This window comes from Homo sapiens, chromosome 2 (assembly GCF_000001405.40).
Source record: "Homo sapiens chromosome 2, GRCh38.p14 Primary Assembly".
NCBI lineage: Eukaryota > Metazoa > Chordata > Mammalia > Primates > Hominidae > Homo > Homo sapiens.
In genome coordinates, this window is record NC_000002.12 from 14846385 (window position 1) to 14858616 (window position 12232).

General features: G+C 40.3%; 1 protein-coding gene across 1 annotated transcript in view, besides 1 other annotated feature; it reads right to left on the bottom strand.

The window, feature by feature from the left end:
* Positions 1–12232, bottom strand: part of NBAS (NBAS subunit of NRZ tethering complex) — a 782426-nt gene that overhangs the window by 67476 nt on the left and 702718 nt on the right. The window lies entirely within an intron of this gene.
* Positions 1971–2541: an enhancer, noted in NCBI's record as "H3K27ac-H3K4me1 hESC enhancer chr2:14988479-14989049 (GRCh37/hg19 assembly coordinates)". NCBI's record gives its function as "activates a minimal SCP1, AML or CMV promoter by ChIP-STARR-seq in naive and primed H9 embryonic stem cells {active_cell/tissue: H9 hESC(naive and primed)}" and the evidence as "EXISTENCE:reporter gene assay evidence [ECO:0000049][PMID:30033119]".

The window sequence follows — 12232 nt, forward strand, 5'->3', positions numbered from 1 at the left end:
GAGGGATTTCATCAGACCTTTCCTACAAGAAATGCTAAAAGGAGTACTTCAATTAGAAAAAAAAAAAAAAGGATGTTAATGAACAATAAGAAATCAACTGAAGGTACAAAGCTTACTGGTAATAGTAAGTACACAAAAAACTATATAATATGATAAAACTGTAGCTGTGGTATGTAAACTATTTTTAAATAGAAAGACTAAAAGATGAACCAATCAAAAATAATAACTACAAATTTTCAGGAAATTGACAGTACAATGAGATATAAATAGAAACAAAAAAGTTGAAAAGTGGGGGTAAAGTTATAGAGTTTTTATTAGTTTTCTTTTTGCTTGTTTATGAAAAGAGAATTAAGTTGTTATCAACTTAAAATAATGGATTATAAGATAGTATTTGCAAGCCTCATGTAGCCTCAAATCAAAAAACATAAAATGGACACACAAAAAAATTAAAAGTTAAAAGTTAAATCATACCACCAGAAAAAATAATTGTCACTAAAAGGAAGACAAGAAGGAAGGAAAGAGAAAGAGAAAAAAACAACCAGAAAACAAATAGCAAAAAGGCAAGAATAAGTTCTCACTTATCATTAATAACATTGAATGTAAATGGACCAACCTCTCCAATCAAAAGAAATAGACTGGCTGATTTGATGAAAATGCAAGATCCAATAATCTGTTGCCTACAAGAAACACACTTCACCTATAAAGACAAACATAGACGGCCGGGCATGGTGGCTCACACCTGTAATCCCAGCACTTTCAGAGGCCGAGGTGGGTAGATCACGAGGTCAGGAGATTGAGACCATCCTGGCTAACACAGTGAAACCCCGTCTCTACTAAAAATACAAAAAATTAGCCGGGTGTGGTGGCAGGCACCTGTAGTCCCAGCTACTTGGGAGGCTGAAGCAGGAGAATGGCATGAACCCAGGAGGCGGAGCTTGCAGTGAGCCAAGACCACACCACTGCACTCCAGCCTCGTCAACAGAGCAAGACTCTATCTTAAAAAAAAAAAAAAAAAAAAAAAGACACAAATAGACTGAAAATAAAGGACTAGAAAATGATATTCCATACCAATGAAAATCAAAAAAGAACAGAAGTGCCTATACTTATGTCAACAACATAGATTTCAAAAAAAAAAAAACTACAAGAAGAGACAAGCAAGGTCACTATATAATGATAAAGGGGTCAATTCAGCAAGAAGATATAACAATTTTAAATATATATGCACCCAACACTGGAGCATTCAGATATATAAAGAAAATATTATTAGGGCTAAGGAGATAGATAGACTCCAATATTAGCTGAAGACTTCAACACCCCACTTTCAGCATTGGACAGATCCTCCAGACAGAAAACCAACGAAGAAACATCTGACTTAATCTGCACTATACAGCAATGGACCTATTACATATTTACACAACATTTCATCCAACTGCTGCAGAATATACATGCTTTTTCTCAGCAAATGGATCACTCTCAAGGACAGGCCATATGTTAGGTCACAAAACAAGCCTTAAAACGTTCAAAAATTGAAATTATATCAAGCATCTTCTCTGACCACAATGGAATACAACTAGAAATCAAGAATGAGAGGAATTTTGGAAACAATACAGACATATGGAAATTAAAAAATATGCTCCTGAATGACCAATATGTCAATGAAGAAATTAAGAAGAAAATTGAGGGGGAGGAGCCAAGATGGCCGAATAGGAACAGCTCCAGTCTACAGCTCCCAGCGTGAGCGACGCAGAAGACGGGTGATTTCTGCATTTCCATCTGAGGTACCGGGTTCATCTCACTAGGGAGTTCCAGAGAGTGGGCGCAGGACAGTGGGTGCGCGCACCATGCGAGAGCCGAAGCAGGGCGAGGCATTGCCTCACCTGGGAAGCGCAAGGGGTCAGGGAGTTCCCTTTCCGAGTCAAAGAAAGGGGTGACGGACACACCTGGAAAATCGGGTCACTCCCACCCGAATATTGCGCTTTTCAGACCGGCTTAAAAACGGCGCACCACGAGACTATATCCCACACCTGGCTCGGAGGGTCCTACGCCCACGGAATCTCGCTGATTGCTAGCACAGCAGTCTGAGATCAAACTGCAAGGCGGCAGCGAGGCTGGGGGAGGGGCGCCCGCCATTGCCCAGCCTTGCTTAGGTAAACAAAGCGGCCAGGAAGCTTGAACTGGGTGGAGCCCACCACAGCTCAAGGAGGCCTGCCTGCCTCTGTAGGCTCCACCTCTGGGGGCAGGGCACAGACAAACAAAAAGATAGCAGTAACCTCTGCAGACTTAAATGTCCCTGTCTGACAGCTTTGAAGAGAGCAGTGGTTCTCCCAGCATGCAGCTGGAGATCTGAGAACGGGCAGACTGCCTCCTCAAGTGGGTCCCTGACCCCTGACCCCTGAGCAGCCTAACTGGGAGGCACCCCCAGCAGGGGCACACTGACACCTCACACGGCAGGGTATTCCAACAGACCTGCAGCTGAGGGTCCTGTCTGTTAGAAGGAAAAATAACAAACAGAAAGGACATCCACACCGAAAACCCATCTGTACATCACCATCATCAAAGACCAAAAGTAGATAAAACCACAAAGATGGGGAAAAAACAGAACAGAAAAACTGGAAACTCTAAAACGCAGAGCGCCTCTCCTCTTCCAAAGGAACGCAGTTCCTCACCAGCAACGGAACAAAGCTGGATGGAGAATGATTTTGACGAGCTGAGAGAAGAAGGCTTCAGACGATCAAATTACTCTGAGCTACGGGAGGACATTCAAACCAAAGGCAAAGAAGTTGAAAACTTTGAAAAAAATTTAGAAGAATGTATAACTAGAATAACCAATACAGAGAAGTGCTTAAAGGAGCTGATGGAGCTGAAAACCAAGGCTCGAGAACTACGTGAAGAATGAATGCAGAAGCCTCAGGAGCCAATGCGATCAACTGGAAGAAAGGGTATCAGCAATGGAAGATGAAATGAATGAAATGAAGCGAGAAGGGAAGTTTAGAGAAAAAAGAATAAAAAGAAATGAGCAAAGCCTCCAAGAAATATGGGACTATGTGAAAAGACCAAATTTACGTCTGATTGGTGTACCTGAAAGTGATGCGGAGAATGGAACCAAGTTGGAAAACACTCTGCAGGATATTATCCAGGAGAACTTCCCCAACCTAGCAAGGCAGGCCAACGTTCAGATTCAGGAAATACAGAGAATGCCACAAAGATACTCCTCGAGAAGAGCAACTCCAAGACACATAATTGTCAGATTCACCAAAGTTGAAATGAAGGAAAAAGTGTTAAGGGCAGCCAGAGAGAAAGGTCGGGTTACCCTCAAAGGGAAGCCCATCAGACTAACAGCAGATCTCTTGTCAGAAACCCTACAAGCCAGAAGAGAGTGGGGGCCAATATTCAACATTCTTAAAGAAAAGAATTTTCAACCCAGAATTTCATATCCAGCCAAACTAAGCTTCATAAGTGAAGGAGAAATAAAATACTTTACAGACAAGCAAATGCTGAGAGATTTTGTCACCACCAGGCCTGCCCTAAAAGAGCTCCTGAAGGAAGTGCTAAACATGGAAAGGAACAACTGGTACGAGCCGCTGCAAAATCATGCCAAAATGTAGACAATCGAGACTAGGAAGAAACTGCATCAACTAACGAGCAAAATAACCAGCTAACATCATAATGACAGGATCAAATTCACACATAACAATATTAACTTTAAATGTAAATGGACTAAATTCTCCAATTAAAAGGCACAGACTGGCAAATTGGATAAAGAGTCAAGACCCATCAGTGTGCTGTATTCAGGAAACCCATCTCACGTGCAGAGACACATGTAGGCTCAAAATAAAAGGATGGAGGAAGATCTACCAAGCAAATGGAAAACAAAAAAAGGCAGGGGTTGCAATCCTAGTCTCTGATAAAACACACTTTAAATCAACAAAGATCAAAAGAGACAAAGAAGGCCATTACATAATGGTAAAGGGATCAATTCAACAAGAGGAGCTAACTATCCTAAATATATATGCACCCAATACAGGAGCACCCAGATTCATAAAGCAAGTCCTCAGTGACCTACAAAGAGACTTAGACTCCCACACATTAATAATGGAAGACTTTAACACCCCACTGTCAACATTAGACAGATCAACGAGACAGAAAGTCAACAAGGATACCCAGGAATTGAACTCAGCTCTGCACCAAGCGGACCTAATAGACATCTACAGAACTCTCCACCCCAAATCAACAGAATATACATTTTTTTCAGCACCACACCACACCTATTCCAAAATTGACCACATAGTTGGAAGTAAAGCTCTCCTCAGCAAATGTAAAAGAACAGAAATTATAACAAACTATCTCTCAGACCACAGTGCAATCAAACTAGAACTCAGGATTAAGAATCTCACTCAAAGCCGCTCAACTACATGCAAACTGAACAACCTGCTCCTGAATGACTACTGGGTACATAACGAAATGAAGGCAGAAATAAAGATGTTCTTTGAAACCAACGAGAACAAAGACACAACATACCAGAATCTCTGGGACACATTCAAAGCAGTGTGTAGGGGGAAATTTATAGCACTAAATGCCCACAAGAGAAAGCAGGAAAGATCCAAAATTGACACCCTAACATCACAATTAAAAGAACTAGAAAAGCAAGAGCAAACACATTCAAAAGCTAGCAGAAGGCAAGAAATAACTAAAATCAGAGCAGAACTGAAGGAAATAGAGACACAAAAAACCCTTCAAAAAATCAATGAATCCAGGAGCTGGTTTTTTGAAAGCATCAACAAAATTGATAGACTGCTAGCAAGACTAATAAAGAAAAAAAGAGGGAAGAATCAAATAGACACAATAAAAAATGATAAAGGGGATATCACCACCGATCCCACAGAAATACAAACTACCATCAGAGAATACTACAAACACCTCTACTCAAATAAACTAGAAAATCTAGAAGAAATGGATACATTCCTCGACACATACACCCTCCCAAGACTAAACCAGGAAGAAGTTGAATCTCTGAATAGACTAAAAACAGGAGCTGAAATTGTGGCAATAATCAATAGTTTACCAACCAAAAAGAGTCCAGGACCAGATGGATTCACAGCCGAATTCTACCAGAGGTACAAGGAGGAACTGGTACCATTCCTTCTGAAACTATTCCAATCAATAGAAAAAGAGGGAATCCTCCCTAACTCATTTTATGAGGCCAGCATCATCCTGATACCAAAGCCTGGCAGAGACACAACCAAAAAAGAGAATTTTAGACCAATATCCTTGATGAACATTGATGCAAAAATCCTCAATAAAATACTGGCAAACCGAATCCAGCAGCACATCAATAAGCTTATCCACCATGATCAAGTGGGCTTCATCCCTGGGATGCAAGGCTGGTTCAATATACGCAAATCAATAAATGTAATCCAGCATATAAACAGAGCCAAAGACAAAAACCACATGATTATCTCAATAGATGCAGAAAAAGCCTTTGACAAAATTCAACAACCCTTCATGCTAAAAACTCTCAATAAATTAGGTATTGATGGGACGTATTTCAAAATAATAAGAGCTATCTATGACAAACCCACAGCCAATATCATACTGAATGGGCAAAAACTGGAAGCATTCCCTTTGAAAACTGGCACAACACAGGGATGCCCTCTCTCACCACTCCTATTCAACATAGTGTTGGAAGTTCTGGCCAGGGCAATTAGGCAGGAGAAGGAAATAAAGGGTATTCAATTAGGAAAAGAGGAAGTCAAATTGTCCCTGTTTGCAGATGACATGATTGTATATCTAGAAAACCCCATCGTCTCAGCCCAAAATCTCCTTAAGCTGATAAGCAACTTCAGCAAAGTCTCAGGATACAAAATCAATGTACAAAAATCACAAGCATTCTTATACACCAACAACAGACAAACAGAGAGCCAAATCATGAGTGAACTCCCATTCACAATTGCTTCAAAGAGAATAAAATACCTAGGAATCCAACTTACAAGGGATGTGAAGGACCTCTTCAAGGAGAACTACAAACCACTGCTCAAGGAAATAAAAGAGGATACAAACAAATGGAAGAACATTCCATGCTCATGGGTAGGAAGAATCAATATCGTGAAAATGGGCAGGTAATTTATAGATTCAATGCCATCCCCATCAAGCTACCAATGACTTTCTTCACAGAATTGGAAAAAACTACTTTAAAGTTCATAAGGAACCAAAAAAGAGCCCGCACCGCCAAGTCAATCCTAAGCCAAAAGAACAAAGCTGGAGGCATCACACTACCTGACTTCAAACTATACTACAAGGCTACAGTAACCAAAACAGCATGGGACTGGTACCAAAACAGAGATATAGATCAATGGAACAAAACAGAGCCCTCAGAAATAATGCCGCATACCTACAACTATCTGATCTTTGACAAACCTGAGAAAAACAAGCAATGGGGAAAGGATTCCCTATTTAATAAATGGTGCTGGGAAAACTGGCTAGCCATATGTAGAAAGCTGAAACTGGATCCCTTCCTTACACCTTATACAAAAATCAATTCAAGATGGATTAAAGATTTAAACGTTAGACCTAAAACCATAAAAACCCTAGAAGAAAACCTAGGCATTACCATTCAGGACATAGGCATGGGAAGGACTTCATGTCCAAAACACCAAAAGCAATGGCAACAAAAGCCAAAATTGACAAATGGGATCTAATTAAACTAAAGAGCTTCTGCACAGCAAAAGAAACTACCATCAGAGTGAACAGGCAACCTACAACATGGGAGAAAATTTTCGCAACCTACTCATCTGACAAAGGGCTAATATCCAGAATCTACAATGAACTCAAACAAATTTACAAGAAAAAAACAAACAACCCCATCAAAAAGTGGGCGAAGGACATGAACAGACACTTCTCAAAAGAAGACATTTATGCAGCCAAAAAACACATGAAAAAATGCTCATCATCACTGGCCATCAGAGAAATGCAAATCAAAACCACTATGAGATATCATCTCACACCAGTTAGAATGGCAATCATTAAAAAGTCAGGAAACAACAGGTGCTGGAGAGGATGTGGAGAAATAGGGACACTTTTACACTGTTGATGGGACTGTAAACTAGTTCAACCATTGTGGAAGTCAGTGTGGCGATTCCTCAGGGATCTAGAACTAGAAATACCATTTGACCCAGCCATCCCATTACTGGGTATATACCCAAATGACTATAAATCATGCTGCTATAAAGACACATGCACACATATGTTTATTGCGGCATTATTCACAATAGCAAAGACTTGGAACCAACCCAAATGTCCAACAATGATAGACTGGATTAAGAAAATGTGGCACATATACACCATGGAGTACTATGCTGCCATAAAAAATGATGAGTTCATGTCCTTTGTAAGGACATGGATGAAATTGGAAACCATCATTCTCAGTAAACTATCGCAAGAACAAAAAACCGAACACCGCATATTCTCACTCATAGGTGGGAATTGAACAATGAGATCACATGGACACAGGAAGGGGAATATCACACTCTGGGGACTGTGGTGGGGTGGGGGGAGGGGGGAGGGATAGCATTGGGAGATATACCTAATGCTAGATGACGAGTTAGTGGGTGCAGCGCACCAGCATGGCACATGTATACATATGTAACTAACCTGCACAATGTGCACATGTACCCTAAAACTTAAAGTATAATAAAAAATAATAATAATAATAAAAAAAAGAAGAAAATTGAAAAATTTATTAAAACTAATGATAATGGAAACAACATACAAAAACCAAAACCTATAGGATACAGCAAATGCAGTACTAAGAGGGAAGTTACAGCTATAAATACCTACCTTGAAAGAGAAGGAAAACTTCAAATAAACAACCTAATGATGCATCTTAATTAAAAAAGCAAGAGCAAATAAAACCCAAAATTAGTAAAAGAAAAGAAATAATAAAGATCAGACCAAAAATAAATGAATTTGGAGAGGGTGGAGCAAGATGGCAGAATAGAAAGTGCCATCAACCCTCTCCCCATGTCCCCCAGCAATGACACCAACTTAACAACCATCTACACAGAAAAAAAACCCCTTCACAAGAACCAAATATCAGGTGAGCACTCATAGCACCTGCTTGTAACTTCAAATTGCTGAAAAAGGTGCTGAAGAGATAAAATTAAAAAAAAAAAAGTCCAGAAATTGCAGACCCCGCTCCTCCCCTCACCCCCAGCAACAGCATGGTTCAGAGAGTATCTCTGGGACCTGGGGCAGGGAAAACACAGAAATTGTGAGCCATTGAATGCAGTGCTGTCCTGTTAGAGCAGAAAGGAAAACTGGACCAAACTCAGCTGATGCCCACCCATGGAGGGAGCATTTAAACTAGTCCAATCCCAGCTGTTAAAACTTGAGCTCCTGCAAACCTCACCACCATAAGCTATAGCACTCTGTTTCTCCAAGTAAACTTGAAAGGCAGTCTAGACTATAAGGACTGCAACTCATAGGTGAGTCCTAGTGATGAAATAGGCCCAGAGACAGTGGACTAGGGGTACATGCAACATACTGAGACACCAGCTGGGGCAGTCAAGGGAGTGCTTACATCACCCCTCCTTAACCCCCAGGCTGCAGAGATCATGGTTCCAAAAGAGACCCCTTCCACCTGCTAGAGGAGAAAAGAGGGAAGAGTGGTGAGAACTTTGTCTTGTATCCAGGATACACCCCAGCCACAGCATGATAGGGCACTGGTCAGAGTTGTGAGGCCCCCATTCCAGGCCTAGCTCCTAGAAAACATGTCTAGACACACCCTGGGACAGAAAGGAACCCACTGCCTTGAAGGAAAGGACCCGGTCCTGCCAGCATTCATCACCTGCTAACTGAAGAGCCCTTATGCAATGAATAACCAGCAGCAATACCAGGTACTACATCAAAGGCCCTAGCTCTGAGACTTGCTGGCTTCAGGTGAGACTCAGCACCTAACCAGCTGTGGTGTCTACAGGGCAAAACTTCTGCTTGAGAAGAGCACAGGAAAAAGTAAAGGGGACTTTGTCTTGTACCTTAAGTACTAAGATTGCTACAGGGAGACAGAAAGCACCAAGTGGGCTCTTGGGGGTGCCTGATTCTAGGACTTCACTCTTGGATGGCATTTCTAGACCTGCCCTGGGCCAGAAAGGGAGCCCATTGCCATGAATGGTGAGTCCCAGGCTAGGCAGCATTCATGACAACCTAACTTAAGAAACCTGGGGACTTAAGGGAATATTGGTGGTAGTCTAGCTGTACTCCTCATGGCCTGGGGTAGCAGTGGCTATGGAGTGAGGTTCCTGTCCCTTTGGAAATGGGAGGGAAGAGTGGGAAGGACAGCCTTGTGTTGTTTGACTGCCAGGTCAGGCACGATACAATAGAACACTAAGTAGGCCTCTAAGATTTTTGACTCTAGGCCCTGACTACCAGATGGCACTTCTGGACCCACTTAGGGCTTGTGAGACCTCACCACCCTAAAGGAAAGAACACAGGCCTGGCTGGCTTTGCCACCTGCTGATTGTAGAGCCCCAGGGCATTGAACACACATAGGCAGTAGCAGGGAGTGGTTACAGCAGGTCTTGAGCAAGACCTAGTGCTGTGCTGGCTTCCGGCCTGACCCAGTGCAGCCATAGTTGCGGTGGCCATAGAAATGCTTATATCACTTCACCTACAGCTTTAGGTCACTCAGAGCAGAGAGAGAGAGAAAGAGAGAGAGAGACCCCAAACATTCACTATGTTTGGAAGAAAGTAAGGGGAGGGAACAAGAGTCTCTGCCTCGTAATCCAGAGAATTCTCCCAGATCTTGTCCAAGACAATCAAGGCAGTACCTCTATGAGTCTGCAAGAACTACAGCATTACTGAACTTGGGGTGTCCCCTAAAGCAAATACAGCTTAGATCACAACATCCAAGTCCTTTTAAATATCTGAAAAGCCTTCCTAAGAAGAATGGCTACAAATAAGTCCAGACAGTGAAGACTATAATTAATATATGACCCTTCAATGAACAGACAACAAAGATCATCTATTAGCATCCACAACATCCAGGAAAACAAAACACTGTACCAAATGAATTAAATAAGGTACCAGGGACCAATCCTGGAGAAAGAGAGACATGCAACTTTTCAAACAGAGAATTCAAAACAGCTGTGTTAAGGAAACTCAAAGAAATTCAAGATAACACAGAGAAGGAATTCAAAATTCTATCAGATAAATTTAACAAAGAGACTGAAATAATTAAAGAGAATTAAGCAGAAATTCTGGAGCTGAAAAATGCAGTTGGCATACTGAAGAATGCATAAGAGTTCTTTACTAACAGTATTGATCAAGCAGAAGAAAGAATCAGTGAACTTGAAGACAGTCTAATTGAAAATACACAGAGGAGACAAAAGAAAAACAAAAGCAATGAAACAAGCCTAAAAGATCTAGAAAATAGCCTCAACGGGGCAAATATGAGTTATTAGCCTTAAAGAAGAGGGCATCCAAATTGGAAAAAAGGTATTCAAATTATCCTTGTTTGCTGATGATATGATTTGATATTTTGAAAAACCTAAAGACTTCACAAGAAAACTATGAGAAATAAGCAAATTTAGTAAGGTTGCAGGATGTAAAATCAGCATACAAAAATCAGTAGCATTGCCAACAATGAACAATATGAGAAATAAATTAAAAAGGTAGTACCATGTACAACATTCACAACAGCCACAGATAAAATTAAATACCTAGGAATTAACATAACCAAAGCAGTGAAAGATGTCTATAATGAAAACTATAGAACACTGATAAGGGAAATAGAAGAGGACACCAAAAAATGGAAAAATAGTCCATGTTCATGAATTAGAAAAATCAATACTGTTAAAATGTCCATACTATCCAAAACAATCTACAGATTCAATGCACTTTCCATCAAAATACCAATGATGTTCTTCACTGAAATAGTAAAAATAATCCTAGAATTTATATGAAACCACAAAGACCCAGAAGAGCCAAAGCTGTCATAAGCAAAAAAGAAAAAAAATGTAAAAAATCATATTACTTGACTTTAAATTATACTACAGAGCTATGGTAACCAAAATGGCATGGTAGTGGCATAAAAGCAGACACATAGATCAGTGAAACAGAATAGACAACCCAGCGATAAATCCATACATCTACAGTGAACTTATTTTGACAAAGGTGTCAAGAGCATACATTGGGGAAAGGACAGTCTCTTCAATAAATGCTGCTGGGAAAACTAGATATTCATATGCAAAAGAATGAAACTAGACCTCTTTCTTGCTATATATAAAAATCAAATCAAAATGGATTAAAGACTCAAACCTAAGACCTCAAACTATGGAACTACTGAAAGAAAACATTGGGGAAAACTCTCCAGGACACTGGATTGGGCAAAAATTTCTTGAGTAATACCCACACGCACAGGCAACCAAAACAAAAACGGACAAATTGGATCACATCAAGTTAAAAAGAATCTGCACAGCAAAGGATACAGTCAACGAAGTGAAGAGACAACCCATAGAATGGGAGAAAATATTTGCAAACTATCCCTCTGACAGGGGATTAATAACTAGAATATATAAGGAGCTCAAACAACTCTATAGGAAAAATAATCTAATAATCTGATCAAAAAGTGGGCAAGAGACTTTAATGGTCATTTCTCAAAAGAAGACATAAAAATGGTAAACAGGTAGATCCTCAACATCACTGATCATCAGAGAAATGCAAATCAAAACAACAATGAGATGTCATCTCACTCCAGTGAAAAGAGCTTTTATCCAAAAGTCAGGCAATAACAAATACTGGTGAAGAGAAAGGGAACCCTTGTACACTGTTGGTGGGAATGTGAATTAGTACAACCACTATGGAGAACAGTTTGGAGGTTCCTCAAAAAACTAAAAATAGAGTTACCATATCATTCAACAAACCCACTGCTGGGTATATACCCAAAAGAAAGGAAATCAGTATATCAAAGAGATATCTGCACTCCATATTCATTGCAGCATATTCACAACTGCAAAGATTTGGAAGCAACCTAAGTGTCCATCAGTAGATGAATGGATAAAGAAAATGTGGTACATACACATGATGGAGTACTATTCAGCCACAAAACAGAATGAGGTCCTGTCACTTTTATGTCTCTTGAATGGAACTGGAGATCATTATGTTTAAGTGAAATAAGTGAGGCACAGAAAGACAAACTTCGCATCAACTCACTTATTTATGAGAGGTAAATATTGAAATA